At 51.4% G+C, this 21,201-nt stretch overlaps 1 long non-coding RNA gene across 1 annotated transcript in view, besides 3 other annotated features; it reads left to right on the top strand.

The window, feature by feature from the left end:
• Window positions 825–964: an enhancer, noted in NCBI's record as "active region_3028". NCBI's record gives its function as "activates an Ori minimal core promoter by ATAC-STARR-seq in GM12878 lymphoblastoid cells {active_cell/tissue: GM12878}" and the evidence as "EXISTENCE:reporter gene assay evidence [ECO:0000049][PMID:35858748]".
• Window positions 8,534–9,733: an enhancer, noted in NCBI's record as "P300/CBP strongly-dependent group 1 enhancer chr10:11940130-11941329 (GRCh37/hg19 assembly coordinates)". NCBI's record gives its function as "activates an origin of replication core promoter dependent on BRD2, BRD4, P300/CBP, MED14 and CDK7 cofactors, with strong dependence on P300/CBP, by STARR-seq in HCT116 cells {active_cell/tissue: HCT116}" and the evidence as "EXISTENCE:reporter gene assay evidence [ECO:0000049][PMID:35650434]".
• The window catches only part of PROSER2-AS1 (PROSER2 antisense RNA 1), a 45,103-nt gene continuing 37,055 nt past the window's right edge, over window positions 13,154–21,201 (top strand). Inside the window, exons 1-2 of the long non-coding RNA NR_038222.1 lie at window positions 13,154–13,682; window positions 19,911–20,017. This is a non-coding gene — a long non-coding RNA (PROSER2 antisense RNA 1). The remainder of the gene's footprint in view (window positions 13,683–19,910; window positions 20,018–21,201) is intronic.
• Window positions 20,833–20,922: an enhancer, noted in NCBI's record as "active region_3027". NCBI's record gives its function as "activates an Ori minimal core promoter by ATAC-STARR-seq in GM12878 lymphoblastoid cells {active_cell/tissue: GM12878}" and the evidence as "EXISTENCE:reporter gene assay evidence [ECO:0000049][PMID:35858748]".

Genomic DNA, 21,201 nt, shown 5'->3' with positions numbered 1-21,201 from the left:
TGCCATCTCCGATCGGATCCAAGCGTGGGGGTCAAATGCACAGAAGGCAGCAACACCCTCTGTTACTGGGTGAGGAGACGCAAAATAAGGATGAAAATTCCTGATCACACTTACAACTTAAAACTGTTGATTTATGGCCGGGCGTGGTGGCTCACGCCTGTAATCCCAGCACTTTGGGAGGCCGAGGCGGGCGGATCACGAGGTCAGGAGATTGAGACCATCCTGGCTAACATGGTAAAACCCCTTCTCTACTAAAAATACAAAAAAAAAAAAAAAAAAAATTAGCCGGGCGTGGTGGCGGGCACCTGCAGTCCCAGCTACTCAGGAGGCTGAGGCAGGAGAATGGCATGAACCCGGGAGGCGGAGCTTGCAGTGAGCGGAGATCGCGCCACTGCACTCCAGCCTGGGCGACAGAGCGAGACTCCCTCTCAAAATAAAAATAATAATAATAATAAAAAACTGTTGATTTAGGAAGACTTACAGAAGCACCTGAAGTTGCAAACATAACACACGGTCCCACAAACCCTTCAACCAGCTTCCCCCAATGGTGGCATCTTACAGGATGACTGTCCAACGTCACAACCAGGAAAGTGATATTGGTTCAGTGCTGTTGATCAGACATTGAACCTTACACAGTTCCACCCACTTTCACATACACGTGCGTGCGTGTGTGTGGTTCTATGAGACATGATCCCGTGTATGGGTTCCTGTAACTCCGTACAGTCAAGATACAGAACTTCCACCAACATAGAGGAACTCTCTGTAGTCACGGCACCACTGTCCTTGTCCCCCGGCAACTGCCAATCCGGTCTCCATCCTTACTCTTCTGTCATTCTGAGAATGTTCATGTCAATGGGGTCGTACAGTGTGGCTCTGTGATGGCCTTGGGAGCCCTGCCAGCTGCTGTGCGTGTTGTGTGTTTCTTTTTATGGCTGAGTAGAATTCTGTGGCTGGATGGACCAGCGTTGGTTTAACCATCCGCCCACAGAAGCATGTTTGGGTTGCTTCCGGTTTTTGGCTCTTCTGAATAAAGCTGCTATGAATATTTATGTACAGATTTTGTGTGGTAAAATATATGTAATATAAAATTTACCAGTAACCCTTTTATTGTTTTGTTTTGGTTTTTGTTCTGGTTTTTCCTCAGTCACCCGTGTAGCTGGGATTACAGGCAGGCACCACCACACATGGCTAATTTTTGTATTTTGGGTAGAGATGGGGTTTTACCGTGTTGGCCAGGTTAGTCTCAAACTCCTGACCTTGGGTAATCCACCTGCCTCGGCCTCCCTAAGTGCTGGGATTACAGGCATGAGCCACTGTGCCCGGGCACCAGTAACCTTTAAATATACAATTTAGTACATATATAGTTTTTTGTGAAAAGGTAAGTTTTTTTTTTTTCTTTTTGATGGAGTCTTGCTCTGTTGCCCAGGCTGGAGTGCAGTGGTGTGTTCTAGGTTCATTGCAACCTCCACCTTCCAGGTTCAAGCAATTCTCCTGCCTCAGCCTCCTGAGTAGCTGGGATTACAGGCAGCCACCACCATGCCTGGCTAATTTTTGTATTTTTAGTAGACATGGGGTTTCACCAAGTTGGCCAGGCTGGTCTCAAACTCCTGACCTCAAGCACTCTGCCCGCCTTGGCCTCCCAAAGTGCTGGGATTACAGGTGTGAGCCACCGCAACTGGCCTTTTTTGTTTGATTTTTGCAGTGGGGTCTCATTCTTGTCTAGGCTAGAGTGCAGTCGTGCAACCACAACCCACTGCAGCCTTGATCTCCTGGGCTCAAGTGACCACAGGCGTGTTCTGCCACATCTGGCTAATTTATTATTTTGTAGAGCTGGGGTTCCACTATGTTGCCCAGACTGGGCTCAACTCCTCAGCTCAAGTCATCCTCCTGCCTCAGCCTCCCAAAGTGCTGGGATTACAGGCCTGAGCCACGGTGCCTGGCCTGTAACCATTTTTAAGTGTTCAATTCTGGGTTGGTGCAGGTTTTTGTGTAAATGTAAAAGTGTTCATTTCTCTGGGACAAACACCCAAGAGGATGATTGCTGGGTCACATAGAAAGTGCCTGTTTGGTCTTCTAAGAAAGAGCTGCTGAGCTGTTTTCCAGAGTAAAGGTACCGTCTTACATTCCCACTAGCGGTGTGTGAGAGAGCCAGTTTCTCCCTCATGTTGCAGGCACCTGCTGTTAGGAGTATTTTTATTGTAGCTGCTCTAACTGGTGCGTGGGGGCCTATCCTTGGAGTTCTCATTGGCATTTTCCTCCTGGCTACGATGTTGAATGTGCTTTTATGCACTTGGTTGCCGTTCACACCTCCTCTTTGGTGAAACGTCTGTTTGTCTTTTGCCCGCTTGCTTTTTTTTTTTTTGGAGATGGAGTCTTGCTTTGTTGCCCAGGCTGGAGTGCAATGGTGCGATCTCGGCTCACTGCAACCTCCGCCTCCTGGGTTCATGCCATTCTCCTGCCTCAGCCTCCCGAGTAGCTGGGACTACAGGCGCGTGCCAACACGCCCAGATAATAATTTTTTGAATTTTTGGTAGAGACGGGGTTTCACCGTGTTAGCCAGGATGGTCTCGATCTCCTGACCTCATGATCCGCCCGCCTCGGCCTCCCAAAGTGCTGGGATTCCAGGCTTGAGCCACCGCGCCCGGCCACGCTTTGTAATTTAATTAGAAGCAGGACCTTCATCTGTGTTTTTACCATTGAGTTTTGAGAAGTCTTTATGTACTCTAGATACAAGTCCTTTGTGAGTTACGTGGTTTTTCAACATTTCTCCCCAGTAGGTAGTTTGTCTTTTCATCCTCTTAACAGTTCTTTCACTCAGCAAGTTTTAAATTTCGATGAAGTCCAACCTATTTTTTTTTTTTTTCATGGATTGTGCTTTTGGTATCATGCCTAAGAACTCTACTGTTGGCTGGGGGCAGTGGCTCGTGCCTGTAATCCCAGCACTTTGGGAGGCTGAGGCGGGCGGATCACGTGAGGTCGGGAGTTCAAGGCCAACCTGGCCAACATGGTGAAAACCTGTCTCTACTAAAAATACAAAAATTAGCCAGACGGGGTGTTGCGCGTCTATAATTGCAGCTACTCCGGAGGCTGAGGCAGGAGAATCGTTTGAATCTGGGAGGTGGGGGCTGCAGTGAGCCGAGATTGCACCACTGCACTCCAGCCTGGGCAACACAGCGAGACTGTCTCAAAAACAAAAACCAAAAATCTCTAGTCTTCACCTAGCTCTAAGTCTCAAAGATTTTCTGTTTTCTTTCCTAAAAGTATTATAGTTTTATGTTTTACATTTAGGTCCATGATTCATTTTGAGCCAACTTTTTGTATCAGGTGTGAGGTTTGCGTCGAGGATCACTTTCACCTGTGGACGTCCAGTCTTATCCCATTTGTTAAAGAGCTCTCCTTGCTCTGTTGAATTGCTTTTGCACCTTTGGCAAAAATCAGATGACACGACTATGTTTTATAAGGCAGGTCTGCCAGCAGCAAATTCTCTCAGCTTTTTTTAATTTGGAAGTGTCTTTATTTTGTTTTCAATTTTGAAATAGAGTTTTGCTGGATATATATTAAAAAAAAAAAAACAAAAAACCAGGCTTGGCACGGTGGCTCATGCCTGTAATCCCTGTACTTTGGGAGGCTGAGGCAGGCGGATCACCTGAGGTCAGGAGTTTGAGACCAGCCTGGCCAACATGACAAAATCCCCTGTCTACTAAGAATACAAAAATTAGCCGGGTGTGGTGGCGCTTGCCTGTAATCCCAGCTACTCTGGAGGCTGAGGCAGGACAATCGCTTGAACCCAGGAGGCAGAGGTTGCAGTGAGCTGAGATCACGCCACTGTGCTCCAGCCTAGGTGACAGAGCAAGACTCCGTCTCAAAAAATCAGTTGCACATGCTCGTGTGGGCCTAGGTGTGGGTTCTGTTCCTTTGGTCTGTCTAGTCCTCCACTAACACCACACTGACTTGGTTGCTGTGGCTGTGGAGTAAGCCTTGAGACTGAGGACAGTGATTTCTCCCTCTTTTTTCTTCATCAGGGTTGTTTTCACCCAATCTAGTTCCTTTGCCTTTCCATATAGATTTTAGAATAAGCTTCTCTATTTCTGCAAAATATGTTGCTGGGATTTTGATAGGAATAGCATTATCTTTGATGCTTTTATGAATGGAATTACTGACTTCATTTTCTTCTTCTTTTTTTTTTTTTTTTTTGAGACAATGCCTTACCCTGTCACCAGGCTGGAGTACAGTGGTGCAATCTCAGCTCACTGCAACCTCCACCTCCCGGGTTCAAGTGATTCTCCTGCCTCAGCCTCCCGAGTAGCTGGATTACAGGTACCCACCACCATACCTGGCTAATTTTTGTATTTTTAGTGGAGATGGGGTTTCACCATGTTGACCAGGCTGGTCTCGAACTCCTGACCTCAAAGAATCCACCCCCGCCTTGGCCTACCAAAGTGCTGGGATTGCAGGCGTGAGCCACCACACCCAGCCACTAATTTCATTTTCAGATTGCGCTAATACGTAGAAATGCAATTGATATTTCTACCCTGATCTTGTATCCTGTGACATTGCTGGACTCTTTCGTTAGTTCTAGTGGTTGTTTTGTACATTCCTTAGGATATTCTTCATCCGGGATCATGGCAGCTGTACCAGCTTTCCAATGTGGATGTCTTTTATGTCTTTTTCTTACCTGACTGCACTGGCTAGACTCTCCAGCACAATAATCAATGAAAGTGGTGGGGGTGATACGGCTGCCTCATTTCCAGTCTTAGAAGGAAAGTCTCTGCAGTATCAACAGAGAAAACCATATACCCACAAAGTGCCAGGATCCTGAGAAAGGGGAGATTGGGTAAGGCGGTCCAGGAAGGCTTTCCTAGAAGATGAGCAGATAGGAAGATGAGCGGATAGGAGGACAGCTCGCCAAGGTCAGGGAGTTTGTGAGTTTGCCCTCATATCCCAGTGCTGGAGCTGGCCACTGAAGAGGGCAGGCTCGGGCTCCTGCTGCAAACGCAGGCTTTGCTGTGCATCCTCTGGCAAGGCAGATGCCCCTGTCCTCTTTGGACCTACAGGGACAGCCTCATGGCCTCTGAGGCTCCTGGGCGCACCCCAGGGTGCATCTCATTTCCTGTCACTCCAAGATGGGGGCAGGCAAACTAAGGTGCTCCCCACTGCTCAAGGGAAGAAAGCTGGGGCCAAGCTTGTGAAACTCTCACCCCAGAGTGTCCGGTACAGTGCTGCCGGTGGAATCCTGCAGACCTTCCTGTGTTGAGAGCCTGACCTCTGTTTGTTCCTCCCTCCATTATTCCATTCATTTGCTTCATGCATCTGTGCTGTTCAGGCTCTGTCCACAGCATCTCTCAAGGCATGGCACGGGATGCTATAGATTAACAAGGCCCTCACTCAGCACACGGCTATAATTGACAGCAGAGGGAGAGTCTCAAATGCACTTCAGGAAAGAGGGTGAGCTCTGGGCTAAAAGAGACCCAGCGATGTGGTCACTGCAGGAAAGGCAGCAGTACATCTGTGTGTGTGTGTGTGTGTGTGTGTGCGCGCGCACGCGCGCGCACACATACAGTGAGATTAGGGCAAGTGGGAGGTGACATGGAGCAGGGCACAGTCAAGCTGAGCCCTAAAAGACGTATAGGATTTTGATAGCAGATGCCTAACAGGCGCTTTTGGGCTCTCTTACAGCAGTGATCCCTGGGCTCTCATGAGGACGCAACTCACCTGGGATCTTGTTAAAATGTGGATTCTGACTCAGTGGGTCTGGGGTGGGCTTTGAGAATCTGGCCCAGCCAGAACTGGAAGGACAGTGTGGGTGGGGACACCTGCCCTACGTATGCCCTTCAGAAACAGTTCTGTTCACTTGAGAGACAAGAGCCGACGGGAGCAGGGCCCCCCAGAAACCTGAAGACCTTAGCTGAGACCTCACGAAGTGGTGGAAGAAGTGAGTCACAGCGTGGCCGGCAGCTGTCGGGGGATGGGGGGGTTCCGCCTCTGAAAACGGCAGGGAGTGTGGCGATGTTTGGGAATAGACTTCGTAACTGCTTAGAGATCCTTCCAGACTTAGGTTTCTATGATGGCAGTGAGGAAACTCTTAAACGGAACTTCCTGAATCCAGGAGAATTCTTGACAGGAGGAAATAGCCGCCAGAAAAAGAATCTCCCTGGGCACGTGTGTGGGCCAGCAGCTCAGCCTGGGCAGGAACCTGGGCATGTGAAGGGCAACCTGCCTTCATTAGGCAACACAGATAAGTCATCCGTTCTGTTTGTATTTGCAGACGGGGCCAAAGTTTTGGTGGGCAAGGTCAGAGCAGACAGCAGGAACCACAGCCTTGGTCAAGATCCGCCCTTGGGAGATGGTTCTTGAAAGGGTGGGGAGGGCGGGCAAGAGCCCATCTCCACTGCAGGGGCCTCTGCCCTCTGCCTTCCGCCTACTGGATGGAACTTGTCTTTCCCTCCCCACTGCATGCCCCCCTGCTGTTTCTGGGCTGCCTTAGGCCAAAAAGACATGTTTTTGAACCCCAAGAAAAATGTTCTTATTAAAACATGTTTTTATCAAAAAACAAATTTTGGGCAATCCCTTTCAGAGCCAGAAATGCCATTTTTAGGAAAATGGAACTTCTGAGACCTGTCTTGGCAGTGTAATAGTGGCTATTGTCTTTCTGGGTGCGGCCGCGCCCAAATGGCAACAGAACATGGTCTTTGGAGAAGCCACATCAACACGTAACAATAAAGCTGGTTTGTTCTCGACATAGCCTTATTGTGACCTTTGCTGGGTATTTTCTGGCTCAGTGTAATAAGGCCATTGCCCCCCTTCAGAACGCTAGGAAAGAAAGGGAAAGTCAAGAAGGCTGTCACCGGGCGGCTGCCTGCTACTGTGGTCACACCCCCAGCGCCACGCCTGCCACAGTGGACAGCCACAGTGAACAGCATCGTCTCATTAGAGATTCCAAAAGGCATTTTACAAAACACAAATCGGTTCCTGGGCTTCGGCTTTTTCTTTCTTTTTTTCTTTTTCTTTTGAGACAGTCTCGCTCTGTCACCTAGGCTGGAGTGTATTGGCCCGATCTCGGCTCACTGCAGCCTCCGCCTTCCGGGTTCAAGCGATTCTCCTGCCTCAACCACCCGAGTAGCTGGGACTACAGGTGCCCGCCGCCACACCTGGCTAATTTTTGTATTTTTAGTAGAGACGGGTTTCACCATGTTGGCCAGGCTGGTCTCGATCTCCTGACCTTGTGATCTGCCCGCCTCGGCATCCCAGAGTGCTGGGATTACAGGCGTGAGCCACCGCACCCAGCCGGCTCTGACTTTTTGGGTTGTGAGAATCTCTGCGGCTCCACCTCAAATCACACCTGCAAAGAGGCGCCACTCCTGCGCCCCTGCCAGCCAGTGGTGGTGCCGCGCCAGGAAGAGCTGGGGCTGGCGGGAGTGTGACTCCTGTGCGTTTTGGCCATGCCCACCTCTTGTGGGTGGGTGAAGCGAGTGGAAATAGCAAAGGAGCGTGTCATGTCCAGGGACCACAGGACCCAGGCTTTGTTTGGTCCTAACTTGAGACACTTACTCCTGCTGTCCCTGGAGGCAGCTCCTGGTTGGTGATGGCGGAGTTGGGAGATGTGGTCAGTAGGCCTCGTTCTGCAGGCACTGGGCTCACTCAGGAAATGAGTCTTTAAGAACTGAATGGCCGGCCGGGCCTGGTGGCTCACGCCTGTAATCCCAGCATTTTGGGAGGCCGAGGTGGGTGGATCATGAGGTCAGGAGATCGAGACCATCCTGGCCAACATGGTGAAACCATCTCTACTACAAAAATTAGCTGGGCATGGTGGCGGCGTGCACCTGTGGTCCCAGCTACTCAGGAGGCTGAGGCAGGAGAATCGCTTGAACCTGGGAGGTGGAGGTTGCAGTGAGCCAAGATCGTGCCACTGTACTCCAGCCTGGTGACAGAGCAAGACTCTGCCTCAAAAAAAAAAAAAAAGAACTGAATGACCTTGTAGAAGGCAGCCCACCTGCCTCCTGGCGGGGCAGGATCTGCTCCTGTTCTTAGGATGGACTTGATGTGGACGTGGGCTCGATGCAGATGCTTTAGGACTTGCAGGCTCCCGTGAGCCCCTGAGTCTTCACCTCCCTGTTGGGGTGCTGGCTGAGGGTCGTGGGCTGTGAGGGTGGAGAGCGGGATGGCTTCTCATCACCTCTTCAGTGCCTACCCAGATGAGCACAGGGCATGTGGACGATGCCAGGGACCCCGCCGTCTGGCCTGGGCAGTGGCCGTGCGGCTCAACAACACAGTGGGCTTTAGCATACTGCGTGGTCCCGGGGCACGCTCGCTGTACCTGGCTGGATCTAGATGGTCTAGATGGGGTTGGGGCTGGTAGAGTGGGGCCACTGGTTTATGCCTTCTCTCTGTGGTGTCTGACCTTCAGCCTCTCCATCCTGCAGCGGAGATAGCAATGGGAGCTGCTTCATGAACTTGTCACGCGAATGAATTGGTAATTAGCACGCGGCCCTTGGCCAGGTAACTGTTGCATAGAGGCCCACACTTTGCCTCTATTGACTGTTAGTCTTGAGCCTCCCCCTTCGCCCATCCCGTGGTGGAGTCGGCTGGAGTCCCAGAGGCCCGCTGTTTTCCTTGGTGGTGAAAACAGTGAGTGTGCATTGATTGGGGCTGTTGGACGTGAGGGGGCCACAACGCCTTGTCAAGTTGAGTCACGGGGATGTGGCTTTGTCAGTCACCATCTCACCTTACAGAGAGCTTCATTTTCCCTAAGGGAAAAACACGGCTTGAATTTATGGACTCCATGGCCACACCTTTAGCAGACAGAGGCCATGTGGCATTAGAGAAAGCCCACCAGTTCCCCACAGGTTCAAGGGCACCCTCAGCCGAATACTCCCTGGGGTCTTGGCTGCTCTCAACTCAGACAAGCCCTGGGCAGAGGCTGCTTGACCCACTTCCCTAAGACACCTCCAAACACAATGCAGACAGCCCCCGGAGTGGCGCCAGGGGCGGGCAGAGGTGATGTTGGCGCAGAGATACGGGAGAGACACTCGGGCTTCCCCTCCTCCAGGCCTTAGTGGGCCTTGGTGTCTGGGCCTTGAGGATAAGGTGAGGGTGGGAGCGGGAGACCGCGAATTCACAAGGCCGGGGGCCATGATGCCATTTCCGGCCTGGTCTGTAAGTCACCTCCTGGTCACCCCATCCCAGGGCCTCTTCTTCCCCCAGGGTGGAGTCCAGGCAGCTGTGGGGGCGGACTAACTGAGGAGCGCGAAAAGCCTGGAGATGAAAGATGAGAGATAAAGGCGGCCCTCAGCGGAAGCTGCCCAGCCCTGTGATTACAGTGGCACGAACTCCAGCCAGGTCCCAGTGGGGTCTCTGTCTCCCTGGGGCTTCATTCCCGGTCAGAGAATGCAGTCCTTTCCTGGCAACGGGACTCAGAATGGAATGTTCTGGGACCAACAGGTGTGTAATGAGTGCTACAAATGCTTGCTCAGTGATGTCAGAGGAATTGGGGCTGGCCCTGGGCCAGACGCACAGAGGTGAAGGCTGAGTTTGCTAACCCCAGCTTCTTCCCTCCCTTTCATCTGCTGCTGCCCTCACTCATCCTGGTCTTTCTCCTCTCCCCTCATCTCAAACCTTTCCTTAGGAAAGGGGGTGAGTTTAGACTGTAGTGTAAATGACTGACAGCACTTCGCTGCTCTGCCATCTCCTTTCTTCTGTTATTTTAACAAGCTTGACATGGCCTTCATCTTGGGCTTCTGAAACAAGGATCGCAAATCTCTAGGTTTACCTAGTGATGTGCTGGGGGCTAGACAAAGCCATAGGATAGCATGGTACACCTTTCTGAACATCAGTTTTATTAGATAAGACAACAATTACCAAAACAAACACAGGTTGTAGAGGAGAGAGAAGTTGCTATCACTGTAAAGACAAAACAGAAAGTCTTCTCTCTATATGCCGGTTAAATCTGCTTCTTCCAGGCTGGGAGGAACACAGCTCCCTGACGATCACTCCAGATCACGTCAGCCCCTGATGGGTAGAAGTATCCTGTGATCCTATGACAGCCCTCTAGGTCACTTATAATTTTTTTTTTAAGACGGAATTTTGCTCTTGTTGCCCAGGCTGGAGTGCAATGGCATGACCTCTGCTCACTGTAACCTCTGCCTCCCAGGTTCAGGTGATTCTCCTGCCTCAGCCTCCCGAGTGGCTGGGACTACAGGCATGCACCACCATGCCCAGCTAATTTTTGTATTTTTAGTAGAGACAGGGTTTCGCCATCTTGGCCAGGCTGGTCTCGAACTCCTAACCTCAGGTGCTCCGCCTGCCTCAGCCTCCCAAACTGCTGGGATTACAGGCCTGAGCCACCATGCCCGGCTGGTCACTTGTAATCTTGGATTACAGGTGATGGTTTGGTAACGACTGCTGGTATACCAGACATAAGCTTTTCTAAACACTAACATCATATTTTTGAAATTAAGGTTAGAATTTCTTTTTAAAATTATTTTAATTAAACATTTTTTTGCTTACCTCACAGTAAACAAAGATCAAATGTTAACATTTCTATCAGTGTTACCCCATGTTACTCATTATGAACCTAACCCGGAGCAAAGGGCATGCAGCAGAATGTTCTGCATCTCTTTACCTAAAAGATTCAAAGTTTTAAGAAGTAAAGACAGGACTGAACCAAGTATAAAACTCTGAGAAATCACAAGAAAAAGTCAGCAAAATATACCGGGGGAGAGCCCAGGCCACAAGGACAAAATTCTACAAGGACCATGAAGGGGGGACTAAGAATATTTTATTTAAAAAAAAAAAGTGCCTGGAAGCCAGGAGAAATGCACATCAGATAGGTTATGCCCAGGAGCTGATGGGAGGGTACAGCAGCTGTCACAGATACTGCGGGACCCACTTCACCACCAGGGACCCTGTGCTGACCCTTGCTTGAGGCCTCATTCTGCACCCTTATCTGCTCCAAACTACTTCTCATATTTAGAAGGAGAAATAAACAGGCAGAGGTCACAAACAGACAATTCTCAAAAGATGAGGCCAACACACATAAGAAAAAATGCTCAACAGAGAAATGCAAATCATAACCACAATGAGATACCATCTTATACCAGTCGGAAGACCTGTTATTAAAAAGCCAAAAAATGACATGCTGGGGAGGTTATGGAGAAAAGGGTACACGTGTACACTGCTGGTGGGAATGCAAACTGTTCAGTTTGCTATGGAAAGCAGATTAGAAATTTCTCAAATAATTTAAAACAGAGCTACCATTTGACCCAGCAATCCCATTACTGGGTATATACCCAACGGAATATAAGTCCATCTACCAAAAAGACACATGCAGACGCGGGCAGTGGCTCACACCTGCAATCCCAGTACTTTGGGAGGCCGAGGTGGATGGCTCACCTGAGGCCGGGAGTTTGAGACCAGCCTGGCCAACATGGTGAAACCCCATCTCTACTAAAAGTACAGAAAATTAGCTGGGCGTGGTGGTGGGTACATGTAGTCCCAGCTACTCGGGAGGGTGAGGCAGGAGAATGGCTTCAACCCGGGAAGTGGAGGTTACACTGAGCCAAGGTTGCGCCATTGCACTCCAGCCTGGGCAACGAGTGAAATTCCGTCCCAAAAAAAAAAAAAAAAAAGCCAGGCGCGGTGGCTCAGGCCTGTAATCCCATCACTTTGGGAGGCTGAGGCAGGCAGATCACGAGGTCAGGAGATCGAGACCACCCTGGCTAACACGGTGAAACCCCGTCTCCACTAGAAATACAAAAAAATTAGTCGGGCATGGTGGTGGGCACCTGTAGTCCCGGCTACTTGGGAGGCTGAGGCAGGAGAATGGCGTGAACCCGGGAGGTGGAGCTTGCAGTGAGCCGAGATCATGCCACTGCACTCCAGCCTGGGTGACATAGCGAGACTGTCTCAAAAAAAAAAAAAAAGACAGATGCACGCTTGCCTTAATCGTAGCACCATTCACAATAGCAGGGACTTGGAATCCACTTAAATGCCCATGGATGGTGGATTGGATAAAGAACATACAGTACATATACACCATGGAATACTATGCAGCCATAAAAAGAGTGAAATCCTGTCTTTTGCAACAACGTGGATGGAGGTGGAGGCCATTATCCTAAGTGAATAACACAGGAAGGAAAAACCAAATACTGCACGTTCTCACTTACAAGTGGTAGCTAAATGATGAGTACAGATGGATGCAAAGAAGGGAACAACAGACCCTGAGGATTACTTGAGGGTGGAGGGTGGGAGGAGGGAGAAGATAGAGAAACTACGGGTACTGTGCTCTTACCTGGGTGACAAAATTATCTGTATACCTAATTCCCATGCAACAAGCCCACACATTTAACCCCTGAACCTAAAATAATATCTGAAAAGAAAATACATAAAAATAAAAACACAAAGGTCCTTAATGTCTGGTGGTGTCAAAGACACTTCAACAGACTTTTGACAGAATCTGCTTCTGTTTCCTGAGACTTCTATTTGCTCTTAGGCGGTTGTCTCTTGCTCTGAGACCTCAGAACCCACAGTTCCTAACTGTCCCCTGGCCCGTGAGCTGAGCGGTGATGGGGAATGAGCGGGCGAGACGCGTTGTGGCTTTGCTGGGCATCCCGCCTCTCGCTGGTCATGGGGGCCCTGTTTCTGGAAGGTGACCAGTGACTGGACCATTGCTATATAGGGTGACTGTCGTGTTATCCTTGTGAATTCTTCTTCCCCTGTAAGTCCCGTGGCTTCCTGAAGTGCTCCTTCTTTCTGGACATGCTCTCCACTTCTGGTGGGTGTGCTCCTCCACACTGCCCTGTTTTGGCGGCGTCCTCTCGGCTCTCTGGCGGGCCTCCTCCCCCTTCTGGCTGGCGTGCTCCGCTTTCCGGTGGGTATGCCCCCCCTCGCCCCGCTTTCTGCTGGGCTTCCTCCCTCCTTTCCAGTGGGCGTGCTCCCCCATTTCTGCTGGGCCGCCTCCTTCCGTTCCGGTGGGCATGCTCCCCTTATTTCTGGCAGGCCTCCTCCCCCTCTTTCCAGCACGCGTGCTTCCCCCATTTCCAGCGGGCCTCCTCCCCCGCTTTCCGGAGGACAAGCTCCCCCCACTTCCGGTGGGCCCCCTCCCCCTTCTTCCGGCGGGCCTCCTCCCTCCCCTTAAGCTGAAGTGCTCCCTGCTTCCGGTGGGCCTCAGTCGCATGCAGGACAGCACCGCGTGCGGCAGCTGCTCTGGTGGCCTCCTGCTTACCCGGCCCTCCACTTTACCGTTAGCACGGAGTGCGGCACCCTGCTTGGGCCTTTCGGCTCTGCCTCCCCTGCCCGTCACGGCGGGTCACGACATCGGCCAGGACGCAGCAGAAGGGACAAGACACGCAAAGAAGATGGCGCACCCACCTCGGCACCGAAGGCCAGTGCGACCTCCCGGGAGCAGGCGGGCCAGCACGGGCCTTCCCGGAGGAGACAGCTAAGCCGAGACCTGGGACTGCAGAGGAGAAACAAGGAGGAGGCAGGCGGGGCCCGGTGCCCTCCTCGTCTGCCGTGCCGGGTGGACGGTCTGCTCGCCTGTCTGCGTGACGAAACTGAGGCACAAAGACGCGCTATGCCAGCGGCGGGTATAGCAAGGGCTCCCTCCGCGCCACGTGTTGCCATCCACCACACAGGAATGACCGTCTCCGTGTCATAGATGGGAAACCAGGACGTGTAGGCATCAGGTAACTCGCCGGCCACAAGCTACCCAGTCTAGTAACTCCGACACTGAAGCTTTATGTTATCACCAGGCCCCGTGGCCCCTTCCAGCCTGCAGAGCTGTTAGACGCGTGGGCTGAGTTTCCCGTCCCTGCCGCCTGCTGAAGCTGCCTGAATGCCCAGGCCAGATGGCCCCTCCTGTGGGCCCTAGAGCTCCTTTAAGCCGGCTGGGTTGAAAGGAGCCCCAGGGATGCCACTGCCAGCGACACGTGCAGCCTGGCTACTGGAGGACCATATCCCAGTCTCTCGGGACTCCCGCATTGGGTCTGCTGGTGGGCATGGGGCATTTTTGCCTTTTGTCTGCCAGCAACATTGGCTCAGGCTGGGTCCGCAGCCCGGGCTGCCCTCACCTCTACATCTGTAGGCGATGCTGGTACTGGTTGATGAGGTTGAAAATTCACCTTGGCCAAGAGAGCCTTGGTTCTCCTGGGGGCCCACTGCCTGTTCCTGCCCCCCTGTCTCATCTTTGCTGGCCAGACTGAGGCTCACTGTGTAGAGGTGGATGCCCAGGAGCTTGACTCCCCAGTGACAGAGCAGGAGGCTGGGAGGCCTGATCCTTCTGAGCAGAAGGGACGGACCCAGCCAACAGGCAAGAGAGTGTGGAATAGTAGATTCTGGGCTGGGGCGGCAGCGGCTCAGGCCTGTAATTCCAGCAGTTTGGGAGGCCGAGGCGGGCGAATCATCTGAGGTCAGGAGTTCCAGACCAGCCTGTGCAACATGATGAAAACCCTTGTCTACTAAAACTACAAAAGCTAGCCAGGTGTGGTGATGGGCGCCTGTAATCCCAGCTACTCAGGAGGTTGAGTCAGGAGAATTGCTTGAACCTGGGAGGTGAAGGTTGCAGTGAGCTGAGATCACATCACTGCACTCCAGCCTAGGAAACAGAGTGAGACTGTCTTTTTTTTTTTTTTTTTTTTTTAAAAAAAAAAAAAAAAGATTCCTGAGAGGCTGAGGGGACACTCTGGTCTAGTCTGGCTCAGGTCCAGTGTGCACTTCTTAGCTAAGAAAATTGGCTCCAGTTTAGACCTGGCTGTGCTAGGGCGGCAGAAAAGGAAGTTCTTGATGCTAGCAGCTAAAATGCACAACTCAGCCAGGTGCAGTGGCTCACGCCTGTAATCCCAGCACTTTGGGAGGCCAAGACGGGTGGATCACGAGGTCAGGAGATCAAAATCATCCTGGCTAACATGGTGAAACCCCGTCTCTACTAAAAATACAAAAAATTAGCCAGGCCTGGTGGCTGGTGCCTGTAGTCCCAGCCACTGGGGAGGCGGAGGCAGGAGAATGGCGGGAACCCAGGAGGCGGAGCTTGCAGTGAGCCGAGATCGCGCCACTGCACTCCAGCCTGGGCGACAGAGCGAGACTCTGTCTCAAAATAAATAAATAAATAAATAAATAAATAAATAAATAACAAAATGCACAACTCTTGTGCTCGAATCTGCTAACTCATGCCCTACTGTGCATTCTCACCCTTTCACGAAGTACTAGAGTTGCTAGGTTCTCAGCCTCACCTTCCGCTGACCGTGACCATGTGACAGAAATCCTGGCTCATGGAGTGGGAATGAACAAGATGTGTATGAATTCTGGGTGGTGTGTTTGAAAGGAAGTGGTGTGTCCTCACTTTTTTCTAGGCTGCCTTCGTTTTGGCTTGACTCTGAATATGATGGCAGGAACTGGAACGGTTATTTTGGGTCCCAACATGGAAGTACGTGTTGAGGATGGCAGAGAAAATAAGGTCACACCTCACTTAATGACGAAGATGCATTCTGAGAAATGAGTCACCAGGCGATCTTCTCGCTGTGAGGACATCATAGAATGTATTTACACACTTAGACCGGGGAGCCTGCTACACACCCAGGCTACATGGCGGAGTATTGCTCCTGGGCTGCAAACCTGGGCGTTGTGTGACCGCACTGAATACTGGAGGTAGTTGTAACAGTGGTGTTTGTGTATCTAGACATAGAAAAGGTACAGTAAAAATACGGTATTCTAATGTTACGGGACTTCCGTTGTATATGCAGTCTGTCGCCAGTGTGCCATCGTTATGCAGCCCAAGACTGTAAGTTGAGGGGCTCTGAATCCCTGATGGTTGTGGAGCTGCCATACTGGCTCTGTCCACCACTGGAACTCCGGCATGGCAGTGGCACCGATTCTGTCTAAGCCAGTGTTGTTTGGGTCTGTTTATTACAGAGGTAAGCTGCGATGCTACTACCGCAGCTCAGAGCTCAGCGGGGCTCCCGATGCCCTCGCTCTGGGTGCAGTGGTTTTGTAATTCCTCATGCCTATGGAACACCACGCTACAGGGCTCAGCATATGCTGGGTCTCATCTGCCTGGGGTCACAGGGACTACATATTGGGGTCAGTTTGTAGGAAAACAGAAAAGAAAGCTATTCCAGGCAGCCTCCTTCCTTGCGGGCCTGTGGCCACTTGGTGGGCGGACTGGCCAGTGCTTCTAGAAAGGGGAACTGACCCTGGTTATTTCATTCAAACTGAGGGCAGGGGGAAAAGATTCTGTTCACCAGTCACGGAGTGGCTGTAGACCAGTTTCTCTGTTTGTAAAAACAAACGTCATTGTCCCTCCATAATGCTCTGTCACCCCAGGAACCTGGGGAAACTTTTAAATTCAAGTCTATGGTGGATTGCATTTCTCAGAGACGGCGACCATCTTTGATTTGATGTCTCGTAGTTTGACTTAAGTGGAAAACCACCCAGATGGCATCAGTTCTGTGTCCCAAGGGACAGCCTGACACAGTCCTGGAGCCAGCCTGCCTACGCTTAGGCCCTGGTGCTGCCACACACCCACCAGGGGAGCTTGGCACCCTTCCTGACTTCTCACCTCAGTGATGAGCTTGGCCTTCTGTTGTCCAGCTGGGTCTGGGCTGTGCTGTGGGGAGGGTAGGTGGTCCCCTGGGGCCTACTTGTCCAGGCACAGACGAGAGCATCTCTCACGACCTTTAAGGGCAAGAACAAGTGCCGCTTCTGCTTCCCACAGAACTCCTGCTCTTACCTTCCATTTCTGCATCTTCGCATCTTTGAGCAAGGGACTCGCTCCCTTAAAATAAATATCTTTGTCTCATTGTCCTTTCACGAATGGCCCCTACCTCTCTCCTGGGGAAAGTTTTACTTGATGAATTCCTTCTCCACCTGCCCTGCCCTCTCCCCTCAGGGTACCTGAAGGGGCTGCGAGGGAGGATTTTGTTGTTGAGAGGACTTTATAAATAGATAGATGGGCCCAGCTATCCCAGTTTAGCTCTGATCATCAAGTCCATGCCTAATACTCTATGGCTTTTTCTTTTCTGCTTGGGATGGCATTGATTTTTTTTTTTTTTTAAGATGGAGTCTCACCGTCGCCTAGGCTGGAGTGCAGTGGCGCAGTCTCAGCTCACTGCAACCTCCACCTCCTGGGTTCAAGCGATTCTCCTGCCTCAGCCTCCTGAGTAGCTGGGATTACAGGCACGCACCACCATACCTGGCTAATTTTTGTATTTTTAGTAGAGATGGGGTTTCGCCATGTTGGCCAGCCGGGTCTTGATCTCCTGACCTCAGGTGATCTACCCACCTCGGCTTCCCAGAATGCTGGGATTACAGGCGTGAGCCACCGCACCCGGCCAGCATTGATCTTTTAAGGTGGAAATGACCTAATTGGGAATGGCCTCCACTGCAGAAGCACCAGGTCCTGGTGGGAGGTGCACCTGCAGAAGGCTGGCTGGGAACTTGGGCCGCTCTATGCCAGGCTCCTGCCATCTCCACCTTCAGCCCACTTATTAAATAGGTGGCCAAAGGCCTACTGCATTACCCACTGTGTCTCAACAATCTCTCCTGTAAAATGGGAATAATAAAACCCTTCCATGCCTGAAGGTTCTCCTGAGTTCCCTGCCATCTCTGAGACCTGGAATTTGATGGAAGACTGATAGAGGGATTTAGAAACAACCTCAGACTTTTACAGAGAAGTTACAAGTACAGTAAACATTCTGCACCCCATCCCCCCACCAGAATCATTTGGGAAATAATTGCTGAAATGGTGCCCCAGCATCTCCAACTATTTTGGTGTGTATTTCCTACAAAGAAGGACATTCTGTAGAACTACAATACCAGTATAAAAAACCGACAGAAATGGTGGGCGCCTGGAGAGGACACCATGAGGACGTAACAGCACTTCCTGCTGTTCCTCCAGAGACAAAACCTGGGGTCTCGTGCTTGGAGGCAGGTTTTATCTTTGGTAGGAAATTAGTGTTGCTCGATCACCACCAGCCACTCTCATAGCCTATTCAAGGTTCCCCAGTCTTCTCCATGATGTCCTTTTTCACAACAGAATCCAGTGTAGAAACGCATCACCTGTAGTTTCACATAGATGTATCTCCTTAGACTCCTTCAGTCTGGGAGAGGGCCCCAGTTTGTTACTAACTTGTGCAATCTTTATTTATTTTATTTTATTTTTTGAAATAGTCTCACTCTGTTGCCCAGGCTGGAGTGCAGTGGCGCAATCTCAGCTCACTGCAACTGCCGCCTCCTGGGTTCAAGCAATTCACCTGCCTCAGCCTCCCAAGTAGCTGGGATTATAGGTGCACACCACCACGCCCAGCTAATACTTTTTCTTTTTTAGTAGTGACGGGGTTTTACCATGTTGGTCAGGCTGGTCTTGAACTCCTGACCCCAGGTGATATGCCCGCCTTGGCCACCCAAAGTGCTGAGATTACAGGTGTGAGCCACCACGCCCAGCCGACTTGCATGATCTTAGTCTGAAGCTTTGAGATTCAGGTGTTTATGGGATGCCCCTCAAGTGGGGTTTTCTGAGGTCTTCTCGTGCTTGGAGGCAGGTTTCACCTCTGGTAGGAACAGCAGGAAGTAGTGTTGTGTTGTCATGGGGTCCTCTCCACGGGCACACCATTTTTTGTGTGTGTTTTTTGAGACAGAATCTCACTCTGTCGCCCAGGCTGGAGTGCAGTGGTGCGATCTCCGCTCACTGCAAGCTCTACCTCCCGGGATCACGCCATTCTCCTGCCTCAGCCTCCTGAGTAGCTGGGACTACAGGCACCTGCTACCACACCCAGCTAATTTTTTATATTTTTAGCAGAGATGGGTTTTCACCATGTTAGCCAGGATGGTCTCGATCTCCTGACCTTGTGATCCGCCTGCCTTGGCCTCCCAAAGTGCTGGGATTACAGGCGTGAGCCACCACGCCCAGCCAGGCACACCATTTTCATCTGCCCCTTCCCTGGTGTCACTTCCATCACTCGAAGAAGGTAGAATTGGCCAGGCTTCTCCAGGTGATGTTATTTTTCCTTTGTAATTAAATGTTTTAAGAAGAGGTACTCTGGAACTATATAAATATCTCAATTATAATTAATAATATAACTAATGGATACAATTAATACAGGTGTGGCCTTATGTGGTTTCCCATTTTATTCAATGGGTTGTAATGGGTTACAATCTATTTATTATATTATTTACTTTATGCTCAAATTAGGCCAGATTTGGTCAGCGGGAGTCCCTTCAAGCTGACTTCTGTGTTATTTTGACCTGTCTCCATCGTTCTTTGAGCACTTCCTTACCTTCTGGCCCAAATATATGTTCCAGGCTCATCTTGTCATTTCCCTGCCCAGGCTCTGGAGTCAACCATCTCTCTGAAGAGCTGTGATTCTTTTTATTTTAATTTTTAATTTAATTATATATTTATTCAGATACAGGGTCTTGTTCTGTTGCTCAGGCCGGAGTGCAGTGGTACAATCCCGGGCTCAAGCAATCCTTCTACCTCAGTCTCCCAAGTAGCTGGGACCGTAGGTGTACACCACCCTGCCCAACTAATTTCTTCATCTTTTATAGAGATGGAGTCTCACTGTATTGCCCTGCTGGTCTCAAACTCCTAGGTTCAAGTGATCCTCCTGTCTCGGCCTCCCAAAGTGCTGGGAGGATGGGTGTGAGCCACCACGCCTGGCCTCCCTGATTCTTTTTTAGTGGGGGATGGAAATTCAGAAGTCAGTGTCTGGGTACCGTTTGTGCTCGTGGATATTGGGTATCCCAGCCCTCAGCCCTGAGTGGACTGAGCTGGGGATACATATGCATGTACGTGCTTTACATCCATGCTTGCTTCTGTATCTATCAGTGTCCCACCTGTAGCTGGGACTGCAGGTGTGTGCCACCATGCCCAGCTAATTTTTCATTTTTTTGTTGTTTGTTTGTTTGTTTTGTGAAGACAGGGTTTCTCCATTTTGGCCAGACTGGTCTGGAACTTCTGAGTTCAAGCGGTCCTCCCGTCTCAGCCTTCCAAAGTGCTGGGATGACAGGTGTGAGCAGCTGCGCCCTGGTGAGCTCATTTGTTCTTCTGGACATGCTGGGTCCCTCCCTTCGTCTGTGACTGGCCTCATCCCATGCTGCCTCCTCCCTGGGGGCGCTGCCTCCTCCCTGGGGACGCTGCCTTCCCCCCATTGCCCCCGGCTCTGACACTCAGCACCAGGCCCCCTGCTGCCCAGTAGCTTTCCTCACCCCACCTGGCCTTTGCCATGCCACACCGGGCCTCTGGACCCAGGACCCAGGCTTCCCTCACTTGGGCCCTGATGCCTTCCTCTGCAGAGGCCATCCTGCCCCGCAGACCTCAGCCTTGCCCAGCCGTTGTTCAGGAAGCAAGAGGGATGTGGCCAATGAGGGCCTTCCATGGCACAGAACATTCTAGTCGGTGGTGCTGGTGGTGTTTGAATCTTCGAAACCCAAGATAGGGCCTGCAGTGGACTGGTCCCTCCATACCAAGGCATCTGCCTGGGGCCATCTGTGACCCTGTCTGTGCCTCTTAAAAAGGAAAAGCCATTGGCGGTGCCCAGGAAAGAAATGGGCCCTTTTCTCCTCCAGGGCTTCTACTTTGGCTTCAGGCCACGTTCCCGACCCTGGGTGGGTTAAACTTGAACGCTCCCACTGGTTTCGGGTCTGGTCAGGGGGTTTTCCACATCTTGCCCTGGTTACTCGAGTGTCTGGGGGCAGGCAGGCTGCCAAGGCCTCCCCTGAATCACTCGGCATCTGGGCCCCACCCGGGTGTCGGCCTCAGTGGTGCGTGACGAGAGGCTGGGCTGCTTCTGGATTTCCCCTCAGACCCCTCCTGCGGGGCTTTCGGGACATGGCTTCTCTTGCCTGGAGGAGAAGGGGCTCCGGGAAGCCCTGGCATAGATCATCGGGGAGGTCCCCTGGGGCAGGGCCCATCTCCCACGAGGCTAGAGAAGCCTCCAGCTCAGCCTCCCTGGCTGGCCTGGGCTGCTTTGAAGCCTGAGCTCTTCACAGTCACAGTTTTATAGTCTTGACCTTAAGAAGTGTCCCTCAAAGCATCTAAGCTGCAGGCCCTGTGACCCTGTGCCCTGTGACCCTGTGCCAGCTCTGGCTCTGATGTCACATACGATGTAACTCCCAGGCTCCCAGTTCCCACAGTGGCAGGAAAGGACCGAGAACAAGGCCCCTGTGCAGGGGTCGGCTCAGCGTCGCAGCTGAGAGCGAGGCAGCCTGGGT

Source organism: Homo sapiens, chromosome 10 (assembly GCF_000001405.40).
Source record: "Homo sapiens chromosome 10, GRCh38.p14 Primary Assembly".
NCBI classification, from domain to species: Eukaryota; Metazoa; Chordata; class Mammalia; order Primates; family Hominidae; genus Homo; species Homo sapiens.
This window is presented reverse-complemented; position numbering and strand designations above follow the sequence as displayed.